Source organism: Homo sapiens, chromosome 9 (assembly GCF_000001405.40).
Source record: "Homo sapiens chromosome 9, GRCh38.p14 Primary Assembly".
Classification (NCBI taxonomy): domain Eukaryota; kingdom Metazoa; phylum Chordata; class Mammalia; order Primates; family Hominidae; genus Homo; species Homo sapiens.
In genome coordinates, this window is record NC_000009.12 from 109,307,970 (window position 1) to 109,321,975 (window position 14,006).

The following is a 14,006-nucleotide window of genomic DNA, read 5'->3' on the forward strand; positions in this document are numbered from 1 at the left end:
AGCCTTCCAAGGCAGATGGGAAAGGCCTTTCGCCGCCTCCAGAATGAGATTTTGGACCAGGTGTTCTCCAACGGTTCCCTCAGAGGCGAACCCCACTGGTTCAAGCTGTCCCACACTCGGCCCAATTCCCTTCTCATTGATTCTGCATTCCCTAAAATGTCTGCTGGCATCTCCAGCCAGGAGAGACAGAATGGGTTCATGGAGGGCCTCCCGAGTATGTGAAGGGGACCCAAGCAGGAGTGAGCTAGAGGGAGGAAGAACCCACACTCGAGGAAGACATTCAACAGCTGATCTCCACTCAGCCTTCTTGAGGATAAGGATCTTACTGATCTCTGTGTGCTCTGATCAGATGCTTGAAATAAGACCATTCCCGGTACTAACTGTACCTCAGGGGTGACCAATGTTGAGGATGCAATCAACAAAACTCGGAAAGTAACAAACTGTAATAGGACAAACGGCCTCACTTCTCCAACAGATAAATGGCTCAAAAAGGTGAAGAGAAGGTTTTTAGGTTAAGAGTCTTAGATAGAATATCTATCAAATGCAATGAAAGAACCTTGCTGAAAACCACAGAAGAAAATTTGAACATTGGCCGAATATCTGACACTAAAAAATAATTGTTCATTATTTTTAGAAGTCTTGATGAAGTCTTGTGATGTTGCCCAGGCTGGCCTCGGATTCCTGGACTCAAGTGATCCTCCCATCTCAGCCTCCCAAGTCGCTGGGATTACAGGTGTGTGCTATCACAATCAACTCTATTTTTTTAAAACTGGTCCTTATCTTTTAGAGATACCTACTGAAATACATGTTTGAAATTAAATGTTTAGGCCAGGCACGGAGACTCATGCCTGTAATCTCAGCACTTTGGGAGGCTGAGGCAGGCGGATCGCTTGAAGTCAGGATATCAAGACCAGCCTGGCCAACATGGTGAAACCCTGTCTCTACTAAAAATACAAAAAATTAGCGCGTGGTGGCGCATGCCTGTAATCCCAGCTATTCAGGAAGCTGAGGCAGGAGAATCACTTGAATCCTGGAGCCAGAGGTTGCAGGGAACCAAGATCACGCACTGCACTCCAGCCTAGGTGACGAAGCGAGATTCCGTCTTTTAAAAAAAAAAAATTACATGTTTAGAATTTGTTTAAAATAATCAGGAAAGGGCAGTAGGGAGGGGTATAAAAGGAGAGTGGCCACAAACTGATAAGTACGGAAATGAAGATGACTACTTAGGGTCCATATATAGTTCTCGCTACTCTGGAATATGCTTAGAAAATTCCATAATAAAAACTTCAAAAAGAGTGGGCAGAGCTGATGTGAATACTATAGATCCCGTAGTTGCTCTCACAAAAAGCCACCAGCAGCAACCAACTTCAGCTCATTCACAGTGAAAAGTGAAATCAAAACATTAATTCCTACTTAGTGAGGAAAGACCTGCCAGGGAAGCTTGTCAACTTGGGGCTTACAGTGTTCGCTCCCTTATTCCACCGAGGTGACCTCAGAAGCGGAACGGGATACGGGAGACAATCTCATGGAGTCCAGAGGCCAGTGAGAAAAATACAACTCCACCTAAAAACACATGTGAAAATCATAAAACAAAACATTCCAGGAAGAACTACACATTGCTAACAACATATGAAAGACACTCAACCCTGGCCAGATGCAGCAGCTCATGCCTATAATGCCAGCACTTTGGGAGGCTGAGATGGGAGAATTGCTTGAGGCCAGGAGTCTGAGAATGGCCTAGGCAACACAACCAGATCCCATCTCTATTATTAAGAAATACACACACAGAGAGAGAGAGAGAGAGAGAGAGAGAGAGAGAGATGGATAGGTGAAAGGTACTCAACCCCATCAACAACTGGGGGAAGGTAGAGACTACAAAGGTGCCACTAACTCCCACTATCCTGGTAAAATCAAACAAAGAAGCTGACAATGCCAAGTGTTGGAGAAGAATGGATTAGGGAAGCTTTTACATGCTGTGGGGACTCTGGAAAACAATTTTGTATGATTATAAAGGGCCCCGCCCACTCTTCCTCCCAGGTACACACCCAGGATAGATGCTTCCTGGCACATGTACACCAGAGACCAATTCCAGAAAGTTCAAAGCGGTGTTTTTTTTCCCTAATAGTTCCAAAGTGAAAACATCCCAAATGTCCACACAGGATCAATTCCAGTATATGCATGCAATGGAATAACTACAAAACAGTAAGAACTCCAGTCATCTCACTGACACAAATTCTCACAGACACAATATTGAAGGAAAAATTCATGTATATACAGCTCACAAACCTGCAAAACTAACATGATATTGTTTAGGAAAACGTACACATGCAGAGAACCTATAAAGAAAAGAAAGGGATGAAAGACAAACTTCAGGAGGGAGGGAGGGAGGGGAATGTGACTGAGACAGAGCATGTGGGGACTTTCACAGCATTGGTGATGGTCTTTGTTCCTAAGCTCGGTGGTGGGCACAAGGATGTTCATTGTGTTATTTCTCTAAAACTATTCATGTTATAGAGAGTCTTTTGTATTTATATTTCATCATTTAAAAATCTAAAGAATGTGCTGGACAGAGGGCTTGCCAACACTGCGCAACTCAGACAAAAATGTAAGGGGGAGAAAACTTGCCTGCCACACACCCCCAAACGAAGCCCAGACAGCCTTGGAAGATGATCAGCATGATGCAGAAGAGTCCCAGGGAAGAGGTGTCAGAATCCAAGAATAACACCACGAGGTGAGGGCTGGGGACATCCAAGTCTCTGGTGGCAGTGCCACAAGTGAATGGGTAGGACCGAGTTAAGACGGTCCAGACCTGCATAAACATCCACAATCCATGAATGGATAAACTGTACGTGGTATACTCTTACAAGAGAACATTACTCAGCGTTAGAAAGGAATGAAGTTCTGGCACCTGCTACATACAACATGGATGAACCTTGAGAATACTAGGCTAAGTGAAATACGCCAGCACAAATGGACAAATACTGTAGGATTCCACTTATATGGGGTACCTAGAGTAGCTAAATTCATAGACAAAAAAGTAGAATGGTGGTTGCCCGGGGTTTGGGGGGAGTGAAAATAGGGAGTTAATGTTTAATGGGGACTGAGTTTCAGTTTGGGAAGATGAAAAACGTCTGGAGACCAATGGTGGTGAAGGTTGCAAAACAGTGTGAATGTACATCATGCCACTTAACTGCATACACTTAAACACGGTTAAAATAGTAAATTTTATGTTATTTATATTAATACCATGATTTTCAAAAAAATTCATAATTCAGGGTAGGTGCAGCTCAGCAAGTGAACAGGTAGAGCAAAGGAGATGCATTATCAGGCTGACTTCAACGCACCTGAGCGAATGCTATGCTGCAGACAACACTCAGCTCATGAGACAGGCATGGAAAAGAAACCACAGAGCTGAGGGATGCCAGCTCTGCAGGCACCCGCTGAACCAGGCAGTTGGCATCCTCACAGCTGCAGGGTAGACCATTCCACCCGGGGGGACTGAGCTGGGTAACAAAGAAGCACCGGATGATCCCACAGGTGGGACAGGACCCTTGGGATATCATCTTCCAGTTCTTGGCTTCATGAAGAAAATGCTGGGCACTCAGCCAGCTATGACTTTGGGGAAAAGAACCTGCAAAAAATGCTGAGAAATGGTAGACAGAATCCAAATGCCAGAGATGCTGAAAGGCAAAGTGGTTCAGAAAAGACAGGGGATTTTACTGCATGAAATTCTGACCTTCCCAGGGAGTTCTAAGAGAACACACATTTAACACAGGAAGGCTGGGTGTGCACAGCATGGGCTGAGGGGAAGAGCACTGGAAAATGAGTCCGGAAACCTAAATTCAATCTGGCTCTCCCATACTTACCAGCAGAGTGGCCCGAGGCCATCTGCTCTCCGAGACCATCTGCAAAGGGGATGATAACGTGCACCTTCCCAGGCGGCAGTGATTAAGGGAAGCAACACAGATTCTGCATGCCTTGGAGATGGGGCTGCCTGACGCGTAAGTGATCAGGTGCTTTGCATATCAACCTCCAAGCCCCCAGAGACAGGTATTACTCACTCAAACCACATCACACACAGCAGAGAATAAGAGTTGAATTTAAGTATTCTAGAATACACACAAAAGAGGGCACCAAACTGGTGAGAAGCCTGTCAAGAAATGTGGATGGGGAGGAGAAAAGAAAAAAATGTTTTAAAGGATATACACCACGCTTATAAACATGTATACAAAAGCACAAAGATGGAAAGGAACAAAGTGAAACCAACCAGTTGCTATGCAGCAGGATAGGAATATGAAAATGTTTTTCTTTGAGATAATTTTAATGTTGTTCTACTAAGCACTTTTTAAAAACATCACCTACTTCTGATCTGAGTGTTGAATTATGGCCATCAAACCATTATGCACTCGAGTGAAATGACATTCAATGAGTCTAACTAAAGAAGTAAATCTGATCCCAAGTGGCCTACAAAGGTGGAAGCCCTTTGGGGGCTCAGGGGTCGCCATCCAGCTCGGAACCTCTGGGGCAAGCTCAGAGCCCTCCCACCCCCCTCGCCCAGCTGTGCTGTCAGAGACCTTCCCAGACCACAAATCAAGCTAGAGTCTGCCTTTACTAGCTATGTGACCTTGGACAAGTTTCTTAACCTGTCTGCTAAACCCTGATTCTTTCCTCTACAAATCAGGAATAACAACAGTAACCATCAACACAGTTTTTGTGAGGATTCAACAAGATAATCACCTAGATGGGGTCCCGACATCATCTTCATTTCAAAGGCAACTCACTCACTCACTCCTTTAAGATCCAGGCATACAGCCAGAACTCATCTGAATCCCCTACCCCAAGGAACCCGGAGCCCAGGGATGGGGCTTTTCTGACCCCCATCTTCCACGCGTTTCCACCTGCTGTTCCCTCCACCCAGACACAGCTGAACTCCTACACATCCTTTGGGGCAATTCCATTGTCACTCTGGGGACCAAACCTTCTCCAGCTGCCCGGGTGTGGTGGCTCACACGTGTAATCCCAGAGCTTTGGGAGGCCGCAGTGGGAGGATCTCCTGAGGGCAGAAGTTCCAGGCCAGCCTGGGCAATATAGTGAGACCCCAATGTTACCAAAAAAAGAAAAAAAAACCTTCTCCAACTCCAGCCCACACTTCAGTTGCTCACCCCCGGCACCACCCCATGTTGGTTTATGGGTATCTGTTTACTCTGTCTGCCCCTCAAGACTGGGAGCTTAAGAAACACTCTTCTCTCTCCGATACCCCTCCCCCATGCTTAATGTAGTGTAAGGGCTCAGTAAGCCTTTGCTGACTGAAGAAAACATATTGTGAGCAAACAAAAACATTTTGGAAAACAATTTAAAATAAACCAGAAATTAAAATCAGGTGGGACTAGTAAAATTAATCTAGCTCTAGAGAGAGGCCACAGAGGCTGCAGAAGGAGTGAGATTAGAGGGATTAGGGTGGTGGGGGGGCACACCAGGATGCTGCCCGGCTCCAGCCCCACTCTGCCAGGTCAGCTCTGGCTGGTAGCAGAGTCACAGGCATCCTGGGCTGGCGAGAGTCGAGACTGCCCCATAGCAGCTGCTTTCAGATGCAAGGGGACTCTGAGGTCACATCAACAAGACCTTTAACCTGCCAGCAAGAGAAAGTAATTGTGGTGAGGAGGGTCAGAGTGCCAGGCAGCTTGCTTCCTACCAAGGGAGGGGCAGCAGGCAGCACACAGCGCAGATGGCTAACAAGCACTGGGGGCTCCCCACCCCAGCTAAGAGTCCCAGGAAATGTAGAGAGGAGAGCCGAGGGCCTCACCCTAAAGAGATACAAGCTCCAAGTCGACCATCCTTATTCAACTGTGCTGAGGTGGGAGTAGACAGAGACTTCCATCAACCCACTTAAGTTCATCATTTTAAAAACATGTTTATATCTGAATATGAAATAAAGCACAGATGAATGCGCACCCCTATTTTAACAGTGTTTAATGAAACTGTAGATGTTGTTCCAACCTTTGTGTATTTTCAAATGGGTCTTCGATGAATGCATTGTAAACGAGAAATGAAAGGAGAGCACACACACGAACCTGGAAAACACACCCAGATGAATCAGCAGCTGACCCTGCCCTCAGGCAGCAGCCACGGGCTACAGGTGGAAACTGGAGTGCAGTTCCCACTGGAGGAGAAGGCTCCAGGCAGGGCAGAGAGAGGCCCGGGGAGGAGCCCACTCCCAGCCGGCCAAAGGAAGTCAAGCAGTGGGCAAGGATGGAACACGTGTTTTGAGGACAAATGGTAGGCGGAGGATTTCTGTGGTTGCCAGGCTGGATTTTTTTCTAAGTCCCCACGCAAGAATTTAAGGGAAGGCCCCACCCCCATCGACCTTCTGCTATTTCAAAACGAAACAGACCTGTGCCTTCATCCACTGCAGGGTACTAGGAACAGAATTCAATGAGATTATGCACGTGAAAGTGCTTAGCAAGTTAATATTTGTTCAGAGCCCTGTACCAGTGTAGGGTCATGTTACCGGCACTGGAGAGGCTAGGCTGCGGCCCCTTCCCCCTGCAGGCCAACCCCCGCCCCTTATTAACACTGACAAATCCAGCAAGTATAGAAGGGGAGTTAGTGCTCTTGCTTGTATCACGACACCCCCTTTGGGAAGGGTGTTCATTACCCCTCTCTCACCCCCCCCCACCTCAGCCTTTCTTTTAAAACAAAGAAGGCATATCCAAAAATAACACAAACTCATGACCCACTAGATATCCAAGGCCTCATTCCAGGTCTGAGAGGGGATGTGGGTGGGGCAAGTAGTGGAAGGCCACCTTTAGCCAATACCTACCCTACAGGGGCAAAAAAAGCAAGCCACCCAGAGCCCTGGGATAAGCCAGTGTGCCCATGGCAGCCAGAGCCTTGGGAAAGGGTAGAAATGAGAAGCTGTCTTCAACCTCCTGCGGGTCCCTTAATTCTTCCCAACCAAGAGTGAAGACAGCTCTATCTCAAACCTTCACCCTCCCCAACACACTCACCCAACTCCACCTGTGAGCTGCTCTACCGTTGCCCCCTTCTCCTAGCCAGGCCCTCATCACCCCTTACCTGACAAATGCAATGGCATGACTGGTCTCCAGTCCCTCCCCTAGCCCTCCACTCCACTGTGACAAAAATGGGCTCCCTAAAGTACAGGTCAAACCCCAGCTCAAAGACTGCCAACCCCCCTACCATTGCTACAGCAATGGTATTGCTCGCCCCATTGCTACAGCAGTTTATAATGCATGGTGTAGCTGCCTCTGTTCTCACAGTTCTAGGGCCAGGGTTTTTCACTGGCTGTGAAGAGACCACCTGCATCAGAATCACCTGGAGTAACTTGTTAAAAGTTGAGCTTCCTGATATACTGAATCAAGAAATTCTCGGGGTGTGCTCTGGGAATTTTAATGGAAGAAAAAAAATCCCAGATGAACTTTGTGAACACTGAAGTTGGGATCATTTTTTCCACTGTTTGGGAAAATCTGTTCTATTTCCAACTGCCAGGAATGTACCCCATCCCTCTTCCATGATCCTGTGTTAGGACGTGGGGTTAGTCTTCCCTCCCACTGCTGACCCTACGCTTGACACCTTCAGACGCTGACAATCAGGGTTCCCAAAGCAGCCGGTTCCAACTCTTTCACTGACTGACTGAAGGGAAGTCACTTTATAGCCACAGACCACAGCTTCCCAGTTTCTCCAATGGGCCGGGGAGGTGCTGTCCAGGGTCCCCTTCAACTCCAAAATAAGCCATATGACCTTTATGTTGTATCATGTATGTTATGTGAGATCAGAGGTTTCAGTCCTAAAATTCTAAAAACCTGGATTCTCCTGTTTTTGCTGAAAAAAACATCACTTTTCACATCCAAAGTGAAACTTTTAAAAAGCATTTCTCATACTACATCCAACTTCCAATTTCCACTAAAGAAGAGCCAAGCAATGGTTAGCCTGCCTGGCACAGCATTTTTTTTTTTAATGTCTATTACTAGAAACTTCTTCAAATCTTTCCAAAGTTCAAAGTAGAGGAAGGAGAGGTTTCTAAGATTACAACCTACTAGCAACCTTTCAGCACTCTGTTGCACCATGAGGCCTTCCCGTCACCAAATCCTCCCAACATCCCCATTTGAAAGATCAGGAAGTCAATGGCTCAGAGAGCTGCAATTGCCCAAAGCTGCAGAGCCAGGGTGCAATATGCAAAGGTAGATCTTCGAATTCTGAAATCCTCCATGTTTACACTGGACCACAATGAGTCAATGTTGAGTTCCAGATGCAGGGGAGGCAAGTGCACCAAATGCAACAATGGCCCATGGGCCGTTCCCTCCAAAGCATGGCGGGAGTGCTAACTGGCCGACCGCACATCCTAACAGCTTTCCACACTGAGCACACAGGGCAACGGGAGGCGGGGCTGAGCAACAGCCACACGAGCAAAAGCGATGCCAGGGATTTAGTCAACAGAGAGCTAATATGAGTCAACAGTGGGTGCCGCTGCCAAGCACACTAATGGGATCTTCAGCTGCATTAATAGAAGGAAAGCGTCTAGGGCAGGCCGAGGGAGGGAGTCCTGCCCTGCTCTGACCAGACCACACCTGAGGGTTGGGCAGGGCTGAGCTAGGCTAAGGAGAGGGAGGTGCTGTCGAAGGCAGGGCCAGGGTTTCTGAAGAGGACTGGCTCAGGCTGGCACTCTGGTTGGTAGGGCGAGCAAGGGCTCATCTGGAAGTTGGGTTTGTACAGCAAGTCCACTTTAGACTGCATGTTATAGATTTTTTTAAAAAGATCCTTTTATTCACATTTTATTTTATCAAAGACTGGAAAGCTGCTGACTATCCATAGCAAAGACTAAGAACACCCAGGGGCCAAGCGCAGTGGCTCATGCCTGTAATCCCAACACTGTTAGGGGCTGAGGCAGGAGGATCGCTTGAGCCTACACGTTTGAGACCAGCCAGGGCAATACAGTGAGACCCCATGTCTATAAAAATAATTTTTTTAATTAGCCGGGTGTAGTGGTGCACAACCGCAGTCCCAGCTACTAGAGAGGCTGAGGTGGGAGGATTGCTTGCGGCTAGGAGATTAAGACCGTAGTGAGCTGTGGTCGTACTACTGCACTCCAGCCTGGGTGACAGATGAGACCCCATATCCAAAAAACAAAACAAAAAAAAGAACACTCAGGGATGCTAGGTGACTCAACCTATCACCAGAGAAGGGGGCTCCAAGCCCTGTCAGAAGAAACAATTGCAGCTACTTTTCTCTTTATTATATACAACAACTGGCCTGTGGCTTTGCCAAGGGACACTGGATCTGAGACCCCATAATCTCAAGTGTCAAAGTCTCCTGGAAGTCCTTCCGATTCCCCCATCCCATCCGGCCACAGCACCCTGTCTGGGTGTGCCAGTCATATCACTTAGCATCACCCAGAATAAAAGAAACGTGTTTTCACCTGCGTTTCCCAAGAGCCTCCAGGCCACATCTCATTCACCTTTGTGTCTGCAGCACACAGCTTGGCACATTGGAGACGCCCAATAACTGTGGTCTGGACTGGACTGAGGTGCCACAGCACGGTCACACTGAGGGTGTTATTGTGTTCCAGACAATTTCAGAACACAAGCATCCTAACTAGGGCTAATAAAAAGGTTTATGACAGCACATAGCCAACTTTTAGGAGGTTGAGCAAAGGAATTCTCAAGGCTAACGCCGCCTGAGGGTTTTTATTACAAAGGAGACATTTAGCCTGGCAATGTCCCTGGGTGCCTGAGAAGCCAGCTTGGGGTATCACGGTCAAAGGTAAATCCTATCTTGCGACAAGCAGCAAGGCAACACCAGGGCCCAGGAAGCGGTAAAAATCCAGGAACACAAAAGAGAATAATGACAAGCAGGGCCAAATGTCAAAAAGGACAGCATAAAGAGTGAGCCCAGTGAAGTGGGTCTGAGGAGCAGCAAATGCTACAAATGCATTGGGGAGCTGGCCGCCTGGCGTTAACCTCGTAACTCAGAATTAATTACAGGAGCACACACTCAGATCTGGGAAGATTAGTGTAGGAGACTGTGATGCAGTCCTAATATCTAATAAATCTTTAAATCGATGAGCTGTGCCCACTGGCGATTTTTCTTCATCTTTCCTCCCTGAGAGCTCACGTGACACAAGCCAGCATTTGCTTTTTATCTGCCTGTGGACAGGGGGCATATACGTGTGTGTGTGTGTGTGTGTGTGTGTGTGTGCACGCGCATAAATACAATGTGGGCTTCACTAAGTCACATCATAGAGGAATCAAGAAATTTGCCGTCCTGGGAATACCTGGGACAGGGGAATTCTTTTGTCAAGCAGCCTTTTATAAAGTGAAGAAACCTTTTAGGATGCAAATATCCCCTTCCCCCACCAGGCTCCAGTGAGGGCTACACTGGCTGGAATCAGTCAGCCTTCCTGTCCCAACCTGTTCGTTTGTGTACCTGTTTGGGTCTATTCACCATGCACACCACTTAAGCCTGTCTCATGGAGCTGACAAGCAATACATTTTATAAACGAATCATCCCCAGGGAACAGATGAGAAAACCACCGGCAAGGAGCACTGTCAAACTTCCCAAGGATAGCATTCCTTTCCCAGATCCGAGATGCAAACTACGCCACATCCTCTCCTAACACAAGCTGCCCACTCCAGAGGCAGCCTGCTCCCCTCTCCTCCTCCCCGGCTCCTCAGGCCTCCTCTCCCAGCTGAATAAAAAGCTGGAGAGCCTCATTGTTGGGGAACAGTAACATTTTTATGCTATTTTAAAGGCAACAGCTCTAAGCACCCGAATGTTGGCTCCTTTTCCATCAATAAAAAGGCCCCAAAAGGGTATTTTCATAGCAAAATGATATCTTATGGAGAGCACAAAGAACCACAAAAATAAAATTGCCATAAATTGAAACTGTCTCGAAATTCAGCCTACACCGGGAAGCGTTAAACTCCAAGCCAGGCAGGCTCTGATTTTCCCATCTGAGACCCTTTTCACATGTTCCTAGTTCTCTCATGAAGTCCAAACATTTCTCCCACCCGGGAAGGCCTATATACTTCCTTGGAAGTCCGGGTATGTTATTTCTTCCCTTGACATCCTCGAGATGATCTGTAACATTCATCTAAAGCTCAATTACCGCTGTGTCCTCAGTCACACCCAGAAATTCCCGAAGGCACCGTCTGCCGCAGCGCCGGGTGCACAGTGGGCGCCCGATTAATGTGTGGTTTGATTTGATCTGATCTGGCCCCTTCAGCCAGGAAGACTCACTGGTAACTGGACGCCCTGCAGCGGACCGCAGCGCCGGCCCAGCTCTCAGCTGGCGCGGGGCGGGGGTGCAACCACCTGTGGGCGGGTGCCCGGGACGCAGGCCCAGGCGCCGCCGCCCTGAGGTGCCCCGCCGACCCCACGCACGGTGCCCAAGGGAGAAAGTCAGGCGCGCCTGGCCCCCCGGGCACCCCGGGGTCGACTCCCAGCGCCCCAGCAAAGGGCTCTGCCGGTGCAAGGCAGGCAGGTCTGAGACAGCCGACTCTAGAGTTAGCTCCCAAGTCACCCTACCCGCTGCGAGGAGGCTGCGGGGCAGATGGGGCTCAGGGAATGGGAATGGGGTGTATCCAGAAGGGATCAGCAGAGAGCAGAAATGGTCTAACCCCCGCCTCCCAAACTTGGGGCGCCTGCCGAGCAGCAAGCGAGGGGATCTCCTCTCTGCTGTCTCATCAAGGCCTGATGGCGAGTTTGAGGGGGGACAAGCTGGACACCCCAGGACGGCCTCACATTGATTTGAGATTTTCTACCCAATAACCCAGTATCAGGAAGACCCCTGCTGGAAGCTAGGGACGGAAGGGGAGCGCCGGCCACCCACACCAGGGGGGGCGGGGTCTCGGGACTTGGGGACCGTGTGTACTGGGGAGGGGGCGAGGCCCCAAGGACTAGGTGGGCGCCAGAGAAATCGCAACCCCGCGGCGCAATGTGCCAAGGAGGGGGCACGGGCCAAAGGTGGGGCCCCGGAAGAGACCGGGACGGGGTGGCCCAAGAAGAAAAAGGGTTGAGGAGTGCTCGGAGAAGAGGATGGGGGAGGGGATCCCCAGGGAGGTGCAAGGGAAGCGCCCCCGATGCAAGCACTGGGGGAGGGGGAGCTGCCTCCAGGGGCGCGAGGTGCCAGTGCCCCAGACTGGCCCCGTCACTCACCGGCAGGTCCACGCTCACTTCGGTCCCGTCGAGCAGGAAGACGCGGCAGTAGAGGGTGGCCTTGGCGGCGCCGGCGGCGGAGATGTGCACGGCCGCGCCGCCGGTGAGCAGGGGCCCGCCGCCCGCCGGGAACACGCTGCCCCCGGGCGCGGCGGGCAGCGCCGAGGAGGAGGCGGCGGCGGCCGGGCCCCCCCGTGGCCCCCCATCGCGCTCGTCCCCCAGCCCGGCGGCCCCGCGCCCCGCCGCGCCCCGCGCGTAGCGCTGCATGGAGCGGCGGCCAAAGGTCCGGCGCAGGAACCGCAGCATCCTGGCTGGGGGCGCCCCCTGCCTCCGCCCCCTGCGCTGCCGCTGCCGCTGCCGCTGCCGCTGCGCCGCCGCCCGGGAGCGTCCCGCGACGCCGTCAGTGCCCTCGGCCGCCCGCGCCGCCTCTCGCGGGCTACGGCCCGGGGCAAGCCCGCGCCGAGGCCGAGGCCGCGCTCTAGCCGCCTGCGGGGCGCGCCGGCCCGGCCAGCGCCGGCTGCGAGTGGCCGCAGGCGGGAGGGCGCGCTCGGGGCCGTCCCGCCGCCGCCGCCGCCGCGCGCTCTCCCGGGCCGGCGGCCTGCGCGGGCTGCCGAGGGGCTGCTCCGGACGGGCGGCTGCGGGCTGCCAGGGGGCTGCCGGGGGCGCGGGAGGCGGGCTGCGGGCTGCTCCCGCGCCGCGCGCCGGCCGAGGGCCAGCCGGAGCAGGGCGCCTGCGTGGTCCTGGCGCGCTCGCTCCCACTCGCCGCGCCGCGCCCGGGGCCCGAGGAGGCCCCGCCGAGCGCCCGCTCCCAAGGCGCCTTTTCCTGCGCCCGCAGCCCCCGCCTCCCACCTGGGAGGCTGCACCTCCAGCCGCCGCCGCCGCCGCCGCCGCCGCTGCCGCCGGGACTGCAGCACGCCCTCCTCCCTCGGGGCTGCGCCGGGTAATTGCAAGCCGGGTCTGTGCTGCCCCCTGCCGGCCCGAGCGCCCCCTGCTGCTGTAGGTGTGCTCACGTGTGTACACGTAGGTGAGCACACACGTGTTTCCGGCGCCCAGAGCCCTGGAGGCGCCGAGTGCCCCTTTGCACCGATAGGAAAACAAGGCCGCGTGCCCTCTGGGAAGCGTTGCCCCGGAGACCAGGCAGAATAGCACTACGTTTTCCCCCATGAAAAAATAGCACTGTTTCCTCTTCTGGAAAAGGAGAGGGGTGGACTAGGTAATCAACACGGTAATCTACAAGGTCCTTGCTACTTAAGTTCTGTCAATTTAAGATCTCAGAGCTGGAAGGACTTTTTTAGTCATTCCAGTCCAGTGGACTCATTCCACATAAGGAACTTGAGGCCCGGCGAGGAGAGGAAGTATTTTTCCAATATGCTACGCAAGAAAACACCTTTCCTCAAGATCTCAGGTCCAGTATTGAGATAAAGGCCTGGATAAATAACAGAGAAGGCTAGTGAAGTTGAAAATTACTGAGAAGCAGAGTAGATCTGAGGCTCTGAGAATGAATAGTGTAGGACACACTGAGAATATTGGAGAGAGACGGAATTGTTTCTAAGCAGTGGCCCTCCAGTATACAAGTTCAAGGTCCGCTTCGAGTGAAGAGGGTTGACCAGTGCTGCTAAATGAGGAATGTGGAAGAGGATGAAGCTGAAAGGAGGTCAGGCCTCTTGGGAAGAATAACACTACTATTTATCATTCCCTTAATCTTGTGCCAAACACCGTGCTAAGCCCTTTCCATTCATCATCTCAATCCCCACAACAGCCTGGTTAGATAGACGTTCTTATCCCCATTGTACAGAGGAGGAAACTGAAGCTTAGAGAGCTTAAGAGACGGGCTC

At 51.2% G+C, this 14,006-nt stretch overlaps 1 protein-coding gene across 9 annotated transcripts in view, besides 3 other annotated features; it reads right to left on the bottom strand.

Moving 5' to 3' along the window:
* EPB41L4B (erythrocyte membrane protein band 4.1 like 4B) overlaps positions 1-13,090 on the bottom strand; it is a 149,086-nt gene extending 135,996 nt beyond the window's left edge. For 8 of the 9 annotated variants that reach the window (XM_017014815.2, XM_017014814.2, NM_019114.5 and 5 more), the window contains exon 1: positions 12,172-13,090. In XM_017014815.2, coding sequence (XP_016870304.1) covers positions 12,172-12,477 — 306 coding nt within the window. In that variant the 5' untranslated portion in view covers positions 12,478-13,090. The remainder of the gene's footprint in view (positions 1-12,171) is intronic. The other variant, NM_018424.3, reaches the window with a different exon arrangement.
* Positions 3,984-4,123: a silencer, noted in NCBI's record as "silent region_20165". NCBI's record gives its function as "represses an Ori minimal core promoter by ATAC-STARR-seq in GM12878 lymphoblastoid cells {active_cell/tissue: GM12878}" and the evidence as "EXISTENCE:reporter gene assay evidence [ECO:0000049][PMID:35858748]".
* Positions 12,451-12,560: a silencer, noted in NCBI's record as "silent region_20166". NCBI's record gives its function as "represses an Ori minimal core promoter by ATAC-STARR-seq in GM12878 lymphoblastoid cells {active_cell/tissue: GM12878}" and the evidence as "EXISTENCE:reporter gene assay evidence [ECO:0000049][PMID:35858748]".
* Positions 12,916-13,215: a silencer, noted in NCBI's record as "silent region_20167". NCBI's record gives its function as "represses an Ori minimal core promoter by ATAC-STARR-seq in GM12878 lymphoblastoid cells {active_cell/tissue: GM12878}" and the evidence as "EXISTENCE:reporter gene assay evidence [ECO:0000049][PMID:35858748]".